The 20,100-nt window shown below is 44.0% G+C and overlaps 1 long non-coding RNA gene and 1 pseudogene across 2 annotated transcripts, besides 4 other annotated features; one reads left to right on the top strand and one right to left on the bottom strand.

Moving 5' to 3' along the window:
• The first annotated feature begins 1,467 nt into the window (after nucleotides 1-1,467).
• LOC105371557 (uncharacterized) lies at nucleotides 1,468-17,834 on the top strand. 2 transcript variants are annotated; one of them, XR_934263.3, is made up of 4 exons: nucleotides 1,468-1,555; nucleotides 4,961-5,049; nucleotides 11,346-11,530; nucleotides 17,766-17,834. It is a non-coding gene; the product is annotated as an uncharacterized LOC105371557 (long non-coding RNA). The 2 variants fall into 2 exon arrangements; XR_934262.3 differs by lacking the exon at nucleotides 4,961-5,049.
• Nucleotides 4,452-5,599: a meiotic recombination region, noted in NCBI's record as "meiotic double-strand break mapped by DNA meiotic recombinase 1 chromatin immunoprecipitation followed by single-stranded DNA enrichment and sequencing in the germ cells of some male individuals with PRDM9 A/A, PRDM9 A/B, and PRDM9 A/C genotypes". NCBI's record gives the evidence for it as "EXISTENCE:chromatin immunoprecipitation-seq evidence [ECO:0000229][PMID:25395542]".
• Nucleotides 5,024-5,549: a non allelic homologous recombination region, noted in NCBI's record as "LCR17pA recombination region, recombines with the LCR17pD recombination region". NCBI's record gives the evidence for it as "EXISTENCE:fluorescence in situ hybridization evidence [ECO:0001047][PMID:12649807]" and "EXISTENCE:restriction fragment detection evidence [ECO:0001124][PMID:15148657]".
• Nucleotides 5,072-5,204: a mobile genetic element, noted in NCBI's record as "direction; forward".
• Nucleotides 5,150-5,162: a nucleotide motif, noted in NCBI's record as "nucleotide motif; similarity to the predicted 13-mer PRDM9 A binding motif (LD hotspot motif), CCNCCNTNNCCNC".
• Nucleotides 15,080-19,978, bottom strand: SPECC1P1 (SPECC1 pseudogene 1; annotated as a pseudogene).

The following is a 20,100-nucleotide window of genomic DNA, read 5'->3' as shown; positions in this document are numbered from 1 at the left end:
GGTAGAGAGGAAGAGGCTGCTTTTGTGTTACTCATGAGTCAGGCTCTCCATCAGTGCCTCCCCGGAGCCTGGGCCAGGCTCCTGCCTGCAGCGGCTCCATGTGGTAGTACCTGGAAAGTGCCCTTGTGGTTGTTAACAACGTGGGGCCAGGGTACAGTCAAGAAACGTTTGATATGTCGGGCCAAAGTTTGAATGTGGAACTTTGCTTATAGAAAAAAATGATTAAATACCAGGGCATCCCAAGTCAAATGACTTGATGAGTGACTTATGGTGGTCATGGGCTCTGAGGGCGTTGGAGATGTTCTGTTAACACACACACCAGGCCACTGGCCAGCAGCATCGACCTTGGGGGACTCTGGCTCTTCATCCACAGGTCTGCACGGCAAAGGTCAAATCAAACTGAAAAGGTGGAAGACGTCCCCATGGGAGAAAAAGACACAGAGGAAAACAGAGCTGATGTGGAGAAAATAAACAAAGCTGGAAGGGAAATTCTAAATTTAACATCCTATTTTCTCTACCAGCTTTGCATCAGGAAATAATGTAGGCATTGCTCTTGATTTTTTAAAAAGCTGTTTCTTGAGAAACGGTCAAAAATGATATTTTTATATGTAGAATGACTTGACATTAGCTCTAATTAAGAAGTCTGTATGCTGCAAATTGTGAAAAAATGCAAATGTTACTGATCATAAACATTTTGCTTATTGTCAATGGTGAATGCAGTGGATTGGCTTGTTGGCAAATGCTCCAAACCCCACGTGGCACACAGAGGCTGGAAAGATGAAATCTCAGAGCTCTCCTGCAGCTGGGATTTTGGGCGTGATTTAAGTTCCATCATCAGAAAGACTTGAGCGAGACCCGGAGTGGCACCTGAGTCAGGGGGAGAGAGGCAGGGCACAGGGCGTTCACTATGTGCACAGAGACTGTAGCAGAGACAAGATGCTTCTGGTGCTGGTAACTGTGGTGGCACCTTTCCAACTGGGTGGGCAGCTTTCTGAAGTTAAGGCTCCTGTCCTGGTGGAGGGAGCAGGTTCCCTGGTGGTCCAATTCTGTGTGGAGACTTTGGGAGCTGCTCCTGGAAGCTCAGCCCTCCCAACAATTCTGCAAGCCATTTAACGCTTTTCCGTCTAAGCCAACGAGAGTGCAATCCATTATACACAACAGAATCCTGACTCAGACATTCTGTCTTCTAAGCCTAAGAGTCGCAACACAACTCTAAAATAACACTGCATTCTGCATGAGCTGAAGCTCCTGCTCTCACCCAAATTCCCTGGTGTGTTCTTTGTGAGGTTTCTAAGTGTAAGCACAGACTCACAGAAAGTCTTTTATGATAGATCATTGACCCAATCCTCAATCCTCTCATGTATGGCTCCCTTATCTAGGGGACTTTGGCATGTCATGTGATCTCCCTGTGAATGAGCCAAGACAAGGACTCCCAGCCTTCTGACTGCTAAATCATTGCTCTCTTCATTACATCATATTGTCACAGCTGTTTTGCAAGATGACTAATTTATGAGAATAGTTCAAACAACGTATCTGGAAGTAGATTTTTAAAAAGGTCAGTGGAAGTTTAAAATATTTATTTACTGATTGTTTTGAAGTTAATCTAGCTACTCATAAGCTTCTGTGGTTGAATTTACGGTGTACTTAATTCTCTAAGCTTTCCTCTGTTGCTCTGTAAACATGAATAGAATACATTTCACAGAAACAGAACTTAAAACAGTTAACCCACGCTGTCTTACACTCTTGACTTCACAGCCCCTTCTTCTGAGTGGAAAAAAAATCAGTAAACTGAAAACTTCATTGGAAGAAACCATTAGGAACTTAACAAACTGTAAGGGGTTGGGTTTTTAAATAATTTTTAAAGGTTTACTGACAGGAACTGGTTTTCACATTTTCCCCTTTATGTTACACAGAATAAAATCAGGTTGGCAAATATGCAGAAACAGAATGAAATCAGGTTAGGTCTGAGGAGAAAAAAATCTCTGTCTGTGCCAGCCATTCTCAGGAAGGTCATCAAGACACAAAACGGGCCACCTTCTTATCAGTCCATTTAAATGACTTGGTCCCAAAGGCCTCCAAGGACAATCATTTTAAATAACTCATGTTCATTTTCTTCTTTGATAATTTAATAAGAACAAAATAGAGAAGCCTACATTCTGCTGAGGTATTCCTTTCAGTTATCTAAGTTTCTCTGCAATTCAAAATATTGAATGATAAATAGACTCATTCAGAGTGTATAAGAAAAAAGCAAGGCCACAAGAATTAATTTCCAGTACCCCTGTCTTTGGGCATCCTAAAATGTTATTTCAAATGCTCAGTCTGCTTGGCTAGAACAATACGAGTCAGTATGAGAAAGCCCTGCATCATTTAAGCAGATTAGAGAAATACTCACTAAATACTCACCATGTTATATAATTGTGTGTGTGTGTGTGTGTGTGTGTGTGTGTGTGTGTGTGTATGTGTATGTGTAGGTGTATGTGTGTAGGAGGCATTCACAAAACAAAGCCTGAACTGAATAACCAAAGAAAATCGTTATTAAGAATGCTATTAGTGGCTGGGCATGGTGGCTCATGTCTGTAATCCCAGCACTTTGGGAGGCCGAGGCGGGTGGATCACTTGAGGTTAGGAGTTCGAGACCAGCCTGACCAACAGAATAAAACCCCGTCTCTACTAAAAATACAAAAATTAGCCCGGTGTGAGTGATGGCACACATCTGTAATCCCAGCTACCTGGAAAGCTGAAGCAGGACAATCACGTGAACCCGGAAGGCAGAGGTTGCAGTGAGTGGAGATTACTCCCACTCCAGCCTGGGTGACTGAGCGAGACTCTGTCTCAAAATAAAAAATAAAAATAAAAATAAAAAAAGAATACTATTAGTGTCCAGGCCTGGTGGCTCACACCTGTAATCCCAGCACTTTGGGAGGCCGAGGTGGATCACTCAGGCTGGAGTGTAGTGGCAACACCTCGGCTCACTGCAGCCTCAATCTCCCAGGCTCAAGTGATTCTCCCACTTCAGCCTCCAGAGTAGCTGGGACTAGAGATGTGCACCACCACACTTGGCTAATTTTTTTTTTAAGAGATGAGTTTTCACCACGTTGCCCAGGATGTTCTTGAACTCCTGGACTCAAGCGATACCTCTGCCTCAGCTTCCCAAAGTGCTGGGATTACATGCATGAGCCACTGAGTTTGGCTCTTTCTTTAGTTACATCACTGATGAAATAGTTGCTTTGTGTTTAGGGGCTACATTTAACACAACAAAATGAAGCATGTGTTCTGCTTGTCCCCAGAATATAAAACTATGTTAATAACAGAAAATTTCACTGAAACAAATATACATACATAATATGGTTTGGTTCTGTGTCCCCACCCAAATCTCATGTTGAATTGTAATTCCCATTGTTGGAGGTGGGGCCCAGTGAGAGGTGACTGGCTCATGGGGGCAGTTTCTAACGGTTTAGCACCGTCCTCCTAGTGCTGTCTTGCGATAAGAGTTCTCAAGGGATCTGGTTGCTTGAAAGTATGTAGCACCTCCTGCTTCATTCACTCTCTCTCCTGCCAGCCATGTGAATATGTACCTGCATCCCCTTCACCTTCCACCATGATTGTAAGTTTCCTGATGCCTCCCTAGCCATGCTTCCTGTGTGACCTGTAGAACTGTGAGTCAATTAAACCTTTTTTTTTTTTTTTTTGAGATGGAGTCTTGGCTCTGTTGCCCAGGCTGGGGTGCAATGGAGTGATCTTGGCTCACTGCAAGCTCTGCCTCCCGGGTTCATGCCATTCTCCTGCCTCAGCCTCCTGAGTAGCTGGGACTACAGGCACCCGCCACCATGCCCGGCTAATATTTTTGTATTTTTAGCAGAGACGGAGTTTCATCGTGTTAGCCAGGATGATCTCGATCTCTTGACCTTGTGATCTGCCTGCCTCAGCCTCCCAAAGTGCTGGAATTACAAGTGTGAGTCACTGTGCCTGGCAATTAAACCTTTTTTCTTTATAAAATACCCAGTCTCAGGTAATTCAATTTTTTTTTTTTTTTTTGAGACTAAGTCTTGCTCTGTCTCCCAGGCTGGAATACAGTGGGGCAATCTCAGCTCACTGCAACCTCTGCCTCCCAGATTCCAGCGATTCCCCTGCCTCAGCCTCCCAAGTAGCTGGGATTACAGGTGCATGCCATCATGCCTGGCTAATTTTTGTATGTTTAGTAGAGATGGGGTTTTGTCACGTTTGCCAGGCTGGTCTTGAATTCCTGACATCAAGTGACTCTCCTGCCTTGGCCTCCCAAAGTGCTGGAATTACAGGCATGAGCCACTGTGCCCAGCCTCAAAGTAGTTCTTTATAGCAAAGTGAGAACAAACTAATACAGTATAACTCCACTGTATATGACAGGCACAGTACCATGTGTCTTAAAAATGTTATCTAATTTAATTTTCCACAAAACCTCCACACATTATCTCTTATTTTAGAGGAAAATTTGATGATGGTCACATGGTTCATGAATGGTAAATCTGGGATGCAAATCCAGCTCTGGCCAGGCCTTTCTCAAATTTTCTGTTGTGCACAAGTGTTCTGTAAGAGGTATACACGGTTCCAAAAATAATGCTGATGGTATTTCTTCTTAAAATATAATAATATTTAAGAAAAAACATTCCCAATATTTCTTTCAACATTCCTATTTTTGTACAATAATCTGTTCTTACAAGGTGGCAACCCATACCTGTGAATAACATTTGGAGGCCAGACTTTCTGATGGTGTGTCACACACAGCAGGTGACACGCACGCACCCTATAAGCAGGCAGCGTCTCCACAGAGCACAACAAGGTGCACGGCCCTCCTCACTGAACGCTGGTCTGCCTTCTACGTCTTACCTTGTCATTTAAGACCACATACATATATGTCTGTAATTATTTCCCTTTAAAACTTTTATTTAACCTCTCTAATTTGTTGCTTTCTTTGTTATATTAGAGAACAGAGTCTTCAATTGCCAGTGATTGTCTATAGCTTTTACTTCCTCAAGACACCACTTTACGTTGTTTATTCTGATCCAGGCACAGGTGAGCTCCTATACAAGATTTTTTTTTTAATGTTCAGTAGAAACAGGGTTTTGCCATGTTGGCCAGGCTGGTCTTGAACTCATCACATTAAGTGATTCATCCACCTTGGCCTCCCAAAATGCTGGGATTACAGGCGTGAGCCACCATGCCCAGCCCATGATGATTTTTTAAGTATTCAAGGGTAACTCCATTTGGGAAGCGTTGCATGGCACCACTGCTACCTTCACAACTGGCAGATTAATATTTGTGAAGAGGGCAGGTTGTGCCAACCACATGCTCATGCCTGCTGGGATCTTTCCTGAACACCTGGATGAAGCCCAGCCCCAGGCCTTTCAATTGATCTCCCATGAGTCCCCTCTACCCATCTAGTTTTTGGACTATACACCCAGCCACCTGAAGTTTTTTTTCTTTTATGTCCTGCCTCTGTGCCTTTGCTCATTCTATGCCCTTGCCTGGAGCGTAATTTTCTCTAAATACTTCTTATTGTTTTACACAAAAAGAATCTAAGAGAAGTTTGTCCCTCTATTGTGAGACAGAAATTATGAAGTACTCTCTCTCCAGATGTCAAAACAGTATCTTCTGAATTTCACTTTCAAATTTCAATATAAGCATATTCAACAACAAAATCAAACAGGATAAGATGGCAATTTGAACATAAGCATCTTCATCTACAAATCTGAACAAAAAGAATCAAAGAAACAGTAAAAATCTTGTAGTCAGGTATCATCTACAAGCCTACACTTTGAAGAATTTCTGCTAATAGAGAGTATGTGGTGGGGGGGAAATTAAAATAAAATACCAAGAGCTTTCCCCCAAATCCCTTCCAAAGAAAATGGAGATCAGGGAAACCCTCCACTAATGTCCCCCACCCTAGAAGGCCAGGGCTGGTGAGGAGCACGAGAAGCCCAGAGAGATGCAGGGCGTTCTGGCAAAGGATCGGGAACAAGAGGAATTTACATCTGAGGAGGCCAAGGTTGGTTTACCCCAGACACAAAGGACAGTAGTGACAAGGGACAGGGCAGGAAAAGCCATGGCGTGCATCTAAAATGGACGAGGGGCACGCAAATGTAGACCCAGAGAGTTGGCTCTGTATTCCAGGCTCACCAAGCAGAGAACAAACTGGGCACAGGTGAATTTCCCCGTTAGGCACTCACCCTTTTCTACCCTACCTGAGCTTCTGTATCTTTCAATATGTAATATATATGCACCTTCAAGAGCCTTCCAACGCGTTTCAGTCATAAGATCCTAAGCACTGTCAGGTAAAGGCAGTGGAACTGAGCAGGATCCAGACACTGACCTGGGCCAAATGTCACGCCCTGCCACACCTGGATCTGCTTCAGCAAGAGAAGGTGATGAACAAAATAATGCCCTGCTTGATGCAAATATTTCTTTTTTAAATTTTTATTATTTTATTTTATTTTTTTGTGATACAGTCTAACTCTGTCGCCCAGGCTGGAGTGCAGTGGCACAATCTAAGCTCACTGCAACCTCCACCTGGGTTCAAGAGATTCTCCAGCCTCAGCCTCCCAAGTAGCTGGGATTACAGGAACGTGCCACTACGCCCAGGTAATTTTTGTATTTTTTTAAGTAAAGACGGAGTTTCACCATTTTGGCCAGGCTGGTCTCGAACTCCTGACCTCAGGTGATTCACCCACCTAGGCCTCCCAGAGTGCTGGGATTACAGGCATGAGCCATGATGCCCAGCCAATGCAAATATTTCATAATACAAAGTGAAGGGGAAACTGCACTCAAGAGAGGACCAACGTTTGTAAATTCATGACCAGAAACAATTTGACACTGATAGTATCTACCTTAAAATTCAATAAAATAAGAAGACATAAATTAAAGATGACAATTTAAAATGAAAGGTGAGTTAAAAATAATATAAGCAATCTAATAACTCATTAATATTTTAAAGCAGATCTAACTCAAAAGAAAAAGAAATGGGGGCATACTTAGGGCAGTTCTCTCCGAATGCAGATGAAATGAATCATGTAAAGGTGGGATTTCAATTCAGTGGACAAAGGATGGTTCTGGTAATAGTGCTGGCATGACCAGCTATCTAACCGGGAGAGAAAGACGCACAGCTCACATCAGATTAAATAAAGAAAGGTGGATCAAACGCCTGTGTGTGTGTGTATCTGTGTGTGTGTCTGTGTGTGCACGTGCATAAAACAGAGAATGAAACTTAATAGTTTATTTGTAACAAATAAGATTGGAGAGGGAAAACCTTCAAACAAACAAAAAGAAATAACAAAAGAAAACACTAACAGTTAACATTATATAAAAATATAAACTTTTCTATGATACAGATGTTAAAGCCAAAGGCCTGTAGTGCACTGGGGATAAAAACACATCTTTGGGCAAGCACAGTGATTCACAATTATAATTCCAGTGATTTGGGAGACTAAGGTGGGAGGATCACTCAAGCCCAGGAGTTGAAGACCAGCCTCGGCAATAAAGTGACACCCCATCTGGACAAAAATTCGAATTAGGAAGGCATGGTGTTCGCCTGTAGTCCCCGCTATTTGGGAGGCTGAGTAGGAGGATCATTTGCGCCTGGGAGGTCAAGGCTTCAGTGAGCTGTGATCGTGCCACTGCACTCCAGCCTGGGTGACAAAGCAAGACCCTGTCTCAAAACAACAACAACAAAAAACAACCCCCCCAAAACAAAACGAAACAAAAAAACCCCGACATCCCTAATAAAATACTGACTTATAAACTGATGAAAGAAACAATCAGCTCAGTGAAAAAATAGGCAAAAGTGCTAAACTAGCAACTCTAGAAGAGAAAGTGCAATTGGTTAGTACACATAAAAATATGCTCAGAGAAATACAAATTAAAATCTAATAAGATAGTATTTTTCACTTATCCTATTGGCAAAAATAAGATCAACACTTTCTGTGGCTGCTCAGACTATGCAGAGATGGGCACGTTCATCAAGAGTGAAATGTCGGCCAGGTGCGGTGGCTCACGCCTGTAATCCCAGCACTTTGGGAGGCCAAGGCAGGCCGATCACGAGGTCAGGAGATCGAGACCATCCTGGCTAACACGGTGAAACCCCGTCTCTACTAAAAAATACAAAAAATTAGCCGGGCGTGGTGGCAGGCGCCTGTAGTTCCAGCTACTCGGGAGGCTGAGGCAGGAGAATGGTGTGGACCCGGGAGGTGGAGCTTGCAGTGAGCCAAGATCGTGCCACTGCACTCCAGCCTGGGTGACAGAGCGAGACTCCGTCTCAAAAAAAAAAACAAACAAAAAAAAGAAAGTGAAATGTCACAGCAGTCAAGTGAGTAACCTGGAGACATCTATTAAGATAAAAATGTGTATATTCTCTAGAGCAGCAGTCATAGTTTTAGAAATTCATCCTATAAAAATAAAATCACAACTATATAGGACTATATGAATAAGGACTCGTATTATAGCATTATTCATAACAAAGAAAACTATAACCTTGCTGGCATTAGTAAGACAATATTTGAATATTCCAGGGCACGTCCCTCCTGTGGAAGGCCATGCAGCTCTTAAAATGAGTTCTCTTTGTATGTATTGACCTGGAAGGATGCCCATGTTACATGAAATAAAAAGTGAAGGTGCAGCATACTGTGTAGAACACAGTCCTGTTTATATTTAAACATATATAAATGAAACCTATACATTTTATGATTAACAAAAAATATACACACTGTTACCAGTGATTACCTTGCAGGGTGAGTACTGAAGGAGGAGAAAGATTAGTATTTTTCTTGACACATCTCCATTTTGCTACCAGTATACCTAAATATTACTTCATAATTAGGAGAAAATCCAATACATTAATTCACCAATCTATTCATTTTTAAATTTCAACAAGACACATCTAGACTAAAAAGTCCATACTATATTTTCTGAGATTCTACAGTTTTGCTTAAAAATTAATTTATGGCCGGGCGCGGTGGCTCACGCCTGTAATCCCAGCACTTTGGGAGGCCGAGGCGGGCGGATCACGAGGTCAGGAGATCGAGACCATCCCGGCTAAAACGGTGAAACCCCGTCTCTACTAAAAATACAAAAAATTAGCCGGGCGTAGTGGCAGGCGCCTGTAGTCCCAGCTACTTGGGAGGCTGAGGCAGGAGAATGGCGTGAACCCGGGAGGCGGAGCTTGCAGTGAGCCGAGATCCCGCCACTGCACTCCAGCCTGGGCGACAGAGCGAGACTCCGTCTCAAAAAAAAAAAAAAAAAAAAAATTAATTTATGCAAAACTAGTGTTTTTGCTCCACGTCCTCTTGTTCTAATAATAAAATCATTCATATCCCAGCTCAACCTTCTATCTACAACTTATATTTAAAGTCCAGCTTGTTTCTCCTTCAAATTCTATTATTTGAGGAGGCTTTGAAGTTCTGAAACTATATTCATGAAAAAATGTAGAACAAAATGACATAAAGGGCCTGCAGAAACATAGCTGGTGATTAAAACTCAAGCAGCAGGCCGGGCGCAGTGGCTCACGCCTGTAATCCCAGCACTCTGGGAGGCTGAGGTAGACAGATCACAAGGTCAGGAGATCCACACCATCCTGACCAACACAGTGAAACTCCGTCTCTACTAAAAATATAAAAAATTAGCTGGGTGTGGTGGTGGGCACCGGTAGTCCCAGCTACTCAGGAGGCTGAGGCAAGAGAATGGCGTGAACCCGGGAGATGGAGGTTAGTGAGCTGAGACTGCGCCACTGCACTCCAGCCTGGGTGATAGAGGGAGACTCCGTCTCAAAAAAAACAAAAACAAAAACAAACAAACAAAAAACCTTAAGCAGCAGACGAGCTTCTGTATAACAACATTATTTAGCATTTTACAAATGCTTACAGATAAAAATACTCAGCAGTACCTGGAGTAAAGATAGGACAAAATGTGGGCTGCAAATACAGTGGTGCCTTTTAAGTTGAGGTTGCAGTTTTCTTAATGTTTATATTTAAAAACATCCAGCAAATGAGTTTTAAATCATCCCAACAACTCTGAATACGAGATAAAGAGCTCCCAGAATCTGCAGTCCTACTCGCAAGTATTTATTTTTACACAGAAGATATCAATGTCTCTTCCTTCTCACACCAAGCTAATGTTTCTAGTGATTCTGTGCTGTCTGGTTTGACACCCCAAAACATCTTCCTGAGTTTAAAGAGCACTCCTGTTCCTAATTTTCCTTTTATTAGACAGTAACTCTTGCCTTGTCTCATCCTTTGGATAAAATAGATACTAGCTTTCCTTTGGATAGCTAATAGCTCCATGCTGAGAACTGCAGGAGGTTTCTGCCTGATGGAGGTTGCTGAAATGGATTTGGATCTTCACAAACACAGGTATTTCTGGAAGTTTAAAATCACATTTCTGGAAGTTTAAAATCCACATAAAATTGTGGATCGCTCTGAGTTGAACACTAAGTTTCCAGGCTGAGTTTCACCCATGGGGCTTTTGGTGTAGTTGTCATTCAACTGTTTTCCATTAGATTTCTATTGCCACTGTCACCATGCTTACCTATCTGGCTTAACAGCATCCTTTATGATCAACTGCTGAGACCAGCTTGGTCGGGAGACCCTAACCCAGTGGCACTAGAGGAATTAAAGACACACACAGCAACATAGAGGTGTGGAGTGGGAAATCAGGGGTCTCAAGCCTTCAGAGCTGAGAGCCTCAAACAGAGATTTACCCACATATTTACTGACAGCAAGCCAGTGATAAGCATTGTTTCTATAGATTATAGATTAACTAAGACTATTCCTTACGGGAAACAAAGGGATGTGCCGAAATAAAGGGATGGGCTCTGGCTAGTTATCAGCAGCAGGAGCATGCTCTCCTTAAACAGATCGCTCATGCTATTGTTTGTGGTTTAAGAACGCCTTTAAGCGGTTTTCTGCCCTGGGTGGGCCAGGTGTTCCTTGTCCTCATTCCGGTTAACCCACAACCTTCAGCGTGGGCGTCATGGCCATCACAAACATGTCACAGTGCTGCAGAGATTTTGTTTATGGCCAGTTTGGGGACCAGTTTATGGCCAGATTTTGGGGGCCTATTCCCAACAATGAACGAAACATCTACTTGTGTTTAGCCCAGCAAGATTCTGGAAATCAAACCAAAGCTTAGTGGTACTTAGTTTCAGATGAGGTAATGAAGTCAGACCCTGTGTAAAGAGGCACAATCAAGACCCCACAGAAGGAAGCCAAACTTTCTGACTTCTTCGGAATAAGCATTACTCAGATCTGCTCTGCCACTGTGCCCTCTCAACATTCCAGCTGCAAATAACTCTTCTTCATGAGACCTGTACTTTCTTTTTTCAGTACAACTTCATTTTATTCTCCAAATAAAAGACTGCTGAAGCTTCTGAGAAAAAGAAAAAAGCGAAGGATCATCTTTGATCATGCAGTGAGCTGATTCCAAAATGTGGACAAAAAGCAGACTCAAAGGCAATGATTCCGAGAAACAGTGAATGTCACAAGGAGACACCTGGGCTCTTTATAAAGAGGTAATTTCTCTTCTACACATTCCCCCTTTCATACAGAGATGGCTGTGGCTCCCAATCATGGGAAGAGCTGGGCTGTCTTTCTTCCACCAAATGCTCTGCTAGCTGACAGAGCCCACGGAGAGGTGAAAATAGAAATGGGGAGGGAGAGGCTGTAAAGGAGTTACCCTAAGGCAACACGGTCTTAGTTCACAAACGCAAGAATTTCCAGCTTACACTGTCCTACAGGGACAAGCTAATGTCCAGGATAGGCCAATGGGTTTTAATTCCTACTGCTCCAATTTTTTGGAAGCCAAAGGTTTTCGGACATAAAAAAAATGTCAGACTACAAATGCCTGTACTAGGCTCCTCCACCAGAACTTCTCCAACAAAGAACTGTGTGGTGAAGCAGAGATGCCCATGATGAACACCACAGGCCCCTCCAGAATTTACAGAGAGGCTTGTGCTTCCCTCTACTGTCAAGGCCAAAAAACTTTTTTTCTTTCATAATTTCAACCTAAAAATCCTAAAGGCCTAAGAGAAGCTTATGTCCACACCGTTCAAATCTGTAAAGATGCGGATTAGGGAATAGGGAGGCAGACACAGCTATTTAGAATTATAGACTGTGTATCTATGTCATAAATGTAAACTATAAAAAAAAGTACTATGTGAGTCAACAGATAAGGCTGGCTACAGTAAGAGGATATCAGAGGACCAGGTTCTACATTAAGGGCCAAATTAAATGCCAGAAGCCCCTGTTCGTCATGGGTGCTAAGGTGAAGTCTGTTCAGAAACTGTTTAGGAATCCTTAGCGGAATGGGCTCCCTCCACCTGGGACAGGGGGTCGGTACCAGAGCATCTGCAGCGAGAGAGCTTGAAAAGGGACCTTAGGGACCCAAGAATCTATACCTCCAACTTCTGCCCTTCCCCTCTCTGCAGCAGCTAGAGAACATGTGCTGAGCGGCTGTGACCCATTAGAGCCATCAGAGCAACACAGAGGGCAGTGCGGGCACATGCAGCGACGCTCGGGCTGACACTGATGTGCACACACGGAGTTAAGCCAATTCCAGCGGAGTCTGCACATGCTGTGCTGCCACAGTGCTCACCTCCGAGAGGGGACAACCCAAGAACTGGTGGTGCAGGCAAAACACATTCGAATCACAGACATTCTATTTAGATACCAATAGCATTAATTAGGCACAGATGTTAAGTGTGTTTAATGATCTCTTTTAAAGATGTTTTCCATGGATGTTTACTGGTGTTATATAAACACTGTAAGAATTAGGTAAGTCACCCTGAAATAACAGCATTTACTGTTTCAGAACAAGAGAAATAAACAAACACAGTAAATGCAGAGGTCTTTCCCCGCTGCTGTTAGAGAAGCCTTGTGTCATGCACTGCTCATCAACAATGGGGAAACCACTGTGTCAAAGAGGTTCAAAGGATTGTATCAGAAAGATGCTAAGGCTGGCACAGGAATTTCTGACTCTCCCACCAGGGAAAGGTCAGCTGAACAACCAGTCCAGAGAATAGCAGAGCTTAAACGGACCTTGAAAACTACTCACTTTTCCCACCTCTTTTAACAGAGGCAGGAGACGGGGCTGGGAATGAGATATTGCTAGTTGGCTGCAAAGATGAGGCTGAGAATGAGATACTGCTGGTTGGCTGCAAAGACGAGGCTACCACCTTCCTTCCCCATATACCTTAACATCACTTATTCTAACTCTGAAATACAAATATTTTTGAAAGTGTAACAGGGCTGAAGATCATTGATGAGTTAGATAATATCCCACTGTGTAGCCACTGAGTTCCGGCAATAAATGCTGATTTGCATTCCTGCCTGGGTGCTTCATCTCATGCCTATCAGCATGGCTGCAACCATCCCCGCGAGTGCCCATGGGGGCAAACAGTTTAAGAACCAGGTAATCCCGTGTCAGGATCCAGGTGCTTTTTGGGTGTTCTTACCTTCTCTCAGTTGTACTTGAAGATCTCATCAGAGAATGTTCTGCAAGTTATTTTGCTGTGGCTGAACCAAGGATGACTTTTGAGTTCTCATTAGATGACTGCCAAAGTCAAATTGAGTTTCAATCAAGAACTCATTCAGCCAAGATGGAAACACTGGCTGGCTTCGGGAGCTTGGAGGGTGTGAGTTGGTTTTAGTTCTTGCTCATGGGGTAGGTTCCAGGAGTGACCGAGCCATGAGCGAGTAATTACCCAATAGTCAACTCTTCAGAGGTGACAGCTTGCCAGAGAAGTGCAAAATCAGACAAGAAACCATCACTGGCACTTGTCTGACTTCCTGCCAAACACAATGGCAGGCAAAATCATCATGATGCCTGATTTCAGTACCATGACACGTTCTCATTGGTGTCAGTTCCAAAATTTGAACTGTTTTGTGGTAAGGGATTAAACTGCTATATTGAGAAAGTAATGTTGCAAATCACCGGAAAATCAAAAAAGAAAATTCTGTGTTTAAAAAAACAATGACGTTAAGACTGAAGATGCAGGATGCAGCATAGGGAGTCCTAAACTGCCAGGATGCATGCGGAGATTTCCTAGAATACCAGGGTTCACACTGCATGGTATGGCCTGTGTCTCACAGTATACATAAGAAATGCAGCAGCTCATACAAGAACCTGGTTATTCAGGGCTACCATGGAAACTTAGGACTTACCTTTTACCATTTATCATTAAAATAGCGTCCATGTGAAGCAACACAAGTTCTGACTGGGATCTTCTTCCAATGACAGACAATAGGGAAGCAAGACAGAGGCAAACAAACAACAGCAGACACAGAGGCCACCCTGAATGCCCTCACTGCTGTTTCAACAGGGAACACTGCAAAATCTAGTTTTCCTAAAATCCACATCCTTTGGTGGCCAGAGGGTAGAGGTCCGGCTATAAAGTAATGATCTTGTCTGGTGCAACTGTAGTCCCAAATACTCTTAAATGTCACTATTAGCAGAGCTCTCTGGGCTGATAGGCTATGTGTTTCTTCCCATCCAGAGCAGAGGGGAATGTCATACATCAGCCAAATGCATGTTTTCCACTCTTTTTAAAATAAAGTGAGTTATGTCAAGGCCTGTTGAAGTAGCCCATGGGTGTTGTCAAATAAGTAGGCACATCCCTGGGCCGGGAGGAATGTGTCCTTATTTGGTGGCTCCTCCCCTCAGGAGTGATTCCAGCTTCTCCCACTGCATGGGAGTGACCTGTGCAAGGTGGTGGGTTCGTATTTATCAGTGTGCACTCCCTGCACTAATAAATACTAAGATTCAAGGAGCATCCTAGACAGGACTTCTATTCTTTAAGCCTAGCAGGATACTTGGCTAGAACTGGCCCTTCATATGTAAGTGAGAAGCTTAGCAGCCCCTTATGCTGCTAAGCATGGCAGAAACTGGGCACTGGATGGAATGTTCCTAGTGATGCGGTAGCACTGGTAATGCAGACTGATCCCAGAAAAGAAACAGCAGAGCCTTGCACAGAGAGACATGAAGCGTCTCATCCCTACCAGGGAGCCCCACGCACAGTAATTAAGTGAAAAGCAAGCATGGCCTGGGTGCCCACTAGACTCACGGAGGGGCAGCTCTGCTGGAAACCACCCTGCCGCAGCCCTGCACATCCCCCAGCTCCTTCTGCAGCCAGGCATTCTCCTCCTCCTTCTCCTTCTCCTCCAGCAGTTCAGCAGTTTCCTCTTCACAGTGCCCAGCTCCTGCTGGGCTTCTCACTTGACATTGTTGGCCACTGCCACCGCAGTCTGCAGATCCGGCTGGAACCACCTCCATTCCATGGTCTTCTTCTGAAAATGCCAGAGCCCAACCCTGTGTCAGATGCCTGCCAGGGCTGGTGCCTGGGCAGAGACTCCAGAGCCCCTGTATCAGTCACCAAGAAAGAACAGCCAGCAGTGCTTAGTGAGGCCCTGCTTTCACGGTGTCTTGCTGCTAGGAAAAGGCACTGGTGGAAATTACACCTTCAGGTTATGAGAGCTCTCCATCCTGACAACAAATGACTGCTTTGATTTTACTTCCTGCTGGCAAGAACTTACAGTTTCAGGACCCATGTCATGAAAATGTTCCAAGATAAAGCAGGATAGAGAGAGTGATCCAGACCTTGGAGGGGTAATTTATAGGAAGATGGTGGTGAAGGCTCCTGCCACATCTCCCCTGTATCTGCTCAGTCAGAGTCTTTAGCTGCCTCCCCAGATCTGACTTCTGTTTCTCCAGCTTGATCACATTACCTAGAAATAGACAATTCAGACAGGCCTTGGAAGAGTTGTGAGACTCTTGAGAGAAGATAAGTCAGGTAGCAAAGGGGCAGCTCCACATGCCACAGCAGGTGTTCAAATCTACTCTAAATGCATTCTACTCTAAATGCAACTTTTAGCAATTTCAATTTACCCTGCAAAGAGGGGCTGGAAGCAGCAAGTTCCTCCAAAATAGGGAACACGATGATCTGAAAAACACATGGTGCATATTGAGGTTACAGTCTCAGCAGACAGGATGCACAACCAAATAGCACTACGGGAAGAGGCCTCCTTGGCCACACACACTTGCACACCGAGCCCGGCCTCCCTCGCACTCACACGCAATCATCCTGAGTGTCCTTTATTGCTGTGAGATAGAGGCTTTCACATAACAGAGCACATGACTGCTTATTCCTCCTGTGGTTTGTAAAGCACTTTCCAGAGTCGTGGGTCTCAACGGCAGTTAAGCCTCTGAATCATTGGTGAAGCTTTTCAAAAGCACTGATGTTCTAGTCCACACTCCAGACACCTGGAGGCAGAATCTCCAAGGGCAGACAGAACCCGAGGATGTGTGCATTTGACATCTTCCCAGGTGGCTTGCCTGCCTCTCCCTACTTAAGGACACCTGCAACCCTTCGTTCTCCTCGCCTCCAATTCTCTCCATATGGCTATCAGAGTCATTCGAGTTTAAATCTGATGGTGTCAGTCACCAAGCTGAAATTCCTCAATAGGTCCTCATGCTCTAACCTAGAGCAGTTTTCTATGAAGGCTGTGAATCAGAATCACCAGAGAAGGCTAAAAAGATGCTTGTGGGCAGGTCCTACCCCAGCAGTTCTAGTTCTAGTGGGCCTGGGAGTCTGAGTCTGGGATTATTCTGCTGAGTAGAAAACACCCCCTAATTTCCTTTCATTTTTCAGTCCATTTCTCTCCCATCAGGATCTCATGGGAAGGAGTGATCGGTCTAGGGCTGTGTCTCGGGGTCTCTGAGCAAAAAGATATCTGAATAATACTTCAAAATCCTTTTAAAAAGTTTAACAGCTTTTCAAAAGATGGCTTGGGTTATTGTCAGTCCTGGATATATGATGATATAACCACAGGGGTGGGCCTAAATTTTGCTGTGGACATTAATTATACACTGGTTTTCTTGGTGTGTCTGTGCTGACTTTTAAGGATTTAGGGACAATACAACCCCATTCTCAACAGCAAAATATCACAAAAACAAAAACAAAACAGAACAGAACTTGTCTTCTTTGACTTTTCTTCACAATCATGGTGCTGGGTTTGGAAGGATACACTGATGATAATGGTGTCCAGGTTTTCAGCTGTATCCTGAGAACAGCCTGGATGGCACCGACACTGAATGCTGAGGTTCCACAGTTCTACTGCGTGTCATGTTCAAGAAGAAACGAGGCAGGTGCTGTCAACTCTCACTCTAACCAACTAATCAATATCTGGAATACACAGTCAATTCTCAGGTTCGTGCACAGAGTTGCATCTGGCAATATCTCCATAAAACAAGCAAGTCTCATCAGCAGTGGAAACTCATTCTTCCCATTTCCTTCTTCCTAACACTGAGGAAGTATTTTTAAATTTTTCCTCAGTCTCCTGATCTGCACAACCTGCCTTGCCTGCAACGTTAACCATTCTCACACCTTACAGCCTTTCGAAACCTAGGAGCCGACCAGCACTAACCAAGAAGGATTTAATATTTTCCTGACCTGAGATGATGTGCACGTACGTGTCTTTGGTTTTCAGTCTCACAATAATGTTGCCCACTGCTTTTTAAAATTGGCCGTCTTCTCATGAATCCATAAATTTGGCTGCTTTTCCATCTTTTCCACAGCTGCATCACACTCTACAGATGTCCCTTTAGCATGTCAGGGCAGCTTTACATACATATTGTTGAACTTCCTCTCCCTTTCTCTGATGTACTGTGTTGTCGATTCAGTAACTCAGGCTTAACAGCACAGGAGCTCATGCCTTCAAGAAACTTCCGTAACATACGTGTCTTCTCTGCAGGTCTCTCTCAGCCTCCCTGCGCTTAGGGACAGTGGACAGCACTGCAGCACTGCAGCACTGCACTTGGGGCCATTTTAAACAGCGAAGTCACCAAAACCACGCAAAAAAATGCTAAAAGCACAGTACTAAACAGACCATGGAAAAGACATATGTACAGTATGAGAAGGTAAAGTGTCTGTCTGACCTCAGTGGGGAGCATAAGCACTGGATGACTCAACGTTTTCACTTCTCTGTGCATGTCCAAAAATGACAAAAATGACTCAGTGGAAGTACTCTGCCTGTTGATTTGGGGGTTAAAATACATTTGAGCAGCTGGGCGCAGTGGCTCATGCCTGTAATCTCAGCACTTTGGGAGGCCAAGGCGGGTGGATCACCTGAGGTTGGGAGTTCAAGACCAGCCTGACCAACATGGAGAAACTCCGTCTCTACTAAAAAAATACAAAATTAGCCGGGCATGGTGGCGCATGCCTGTAATCCCAGCTACTCGGGAGGCTGAGGCAGGATAACCTCCGGTGAGCCAAGATTGCACCATTGCACTCCAGCCTGGGCAACAAGAGCAAAACTCCATCTAAAAAAAAAAGAAATTTTTAGCAAGCAGGTGAATTCACAAATGTGCAATCTGTGAATCTGTGAATAAGGAGGATCAACTGCACGGTGTGGGGAACTTCTCAGGCAACTGACCAGGCTATTCTTAGTAATGATTGGTGTGACCTAAATGCTTTGCCCATTAAACCTTTTTTTTTTTTTTTTTTTGAGGCAGAGTTTCACTCTGTTGCCCAGGCTAGAGCGCAATGGTGTGATCTCAGCTCACTGCAACCTTCACCTCCTGGGTTCATGTGATTCTCCTGCCTCAGCCTCCTAAGTAGCTGGGATTACAGGCACCCGCCACCTCACCTGGCTAATTTTTGTATTTTTAATAGAGACAAGGTTTCATCATGTTGGCCAAGTTGGTCTCAAACTCTTGACCTCAGGTGATCCACCCACCTCGACCTCCCAAAGTGCTAAGATTACAGGCGTGAGCCACCACACCTGGCCATGTCCATTAAGTCTTTTGTCACAAAAGCGAAGCACATTAGATGTGATAATTTGATAAGGCTCATTTGGACAAAGCAGGCAACGTTTAATCCCTTTTAAAAATTTCTTTTCCCAAGTCAAAGTAAACAATGAGCTCATAAGCCACATAATGATGCCTCTTCAGCAACTAAGTGGCCAACATCTGTAAGTTACTTGATATCCTACCATCAATGGCACACATGCAGGAATTGTTTTCTTCCTTAGACCAAGAGCACACATTTTTCATCCACTCTGACACCTATCATCCAACTCTATCAGCTCCAAGAGACAACACATTGTCAATGCTTGGTGACAACACAGTGTCAATGCTTGGCAAGGTATTTCTTCTGAATAACCCATTCCTACCCCACAGAATGTCCTTAGGAAAAGTCCCTGTGAACTCTCACACAGTCACAGCTGAAGTGTCCCAACTTGTGGCCTCCAAGCCGATCAGGCTGCTCAGAGACAGTGGCAGCAGCATGGCTCACACACAGCACATCTAGCACAGACAAGAAACATTTGTGGCTGGGTACAGTGATTCACATCTGTAATCCCAGTGCTCTGGGAGACTGATTTGGGACAATCGCTTGAGCCCACAAGTTTGAGGCTGTGGTGAGTATGGTCATACCACTGCACTCCAGTCTGGGAAACAGACTGAGACCCTCTCTCTAAAACAACAACAAACAACAAAGCATTTGCTATTTTTCACAGTCACTTATGTTACTTACTCTTTTCTTCTGTTATCCAGTTTTCAACTTAGTTTAAGAGATTAATGATTGTTTCTTAGGTGACATTCTTCCCGGGAGATTATAGCACACTCAAATGAAAGACTCTTCATAAACCCCAGCCAACACACGGTCAAAAACCTTCCCACAGTCACCCACTGCTGCTGGGTTCTTTAGTGTCCTACTCACTTCCAATCCACATTTCACCTGGGCTTGACCCCACTTATTTTTTAGCTCACTGATAAGTTGAGTACTGTGTAACTTGATAACCCAGTGCTGTTCCACCTGATCTTCCAGTGCAAACATGGTTTCTTTCATGTCTTTGATCTCTGCATCACTCTCTGATGATGCTTCTTGCAGCTTTAGGCTGGTTCTGTTTAGCTGTTCTGCTTGGTGATTACACATCTCCTTCAGGTATGAATAATCTTTTTCCACTTAAAATAAAAGGAAAGTTCCCTGGTCAGTTTAACAACAAAGTTCCCGCAGCGATCAGTCCACTACAAGCCAAAGCCCCATCATGACACAATATACCCATGTAACAAACCTGTACACGAACC

This window comes from Homo sapiens, chromosome 17, assembly GCF_000001405.40.
Source record: "Homo sapiens chromosome 17, GRCh38.p14 Primary Assembly".
Lineage (NCBI taxonomy): Eukaryota > Metazoa > Chordata > Mammalia > Primates > Hominidae > Homo > Homo sapiens.
This window is presented reverse-complemented; position numbering and strand designations above follow the sequence as displayed.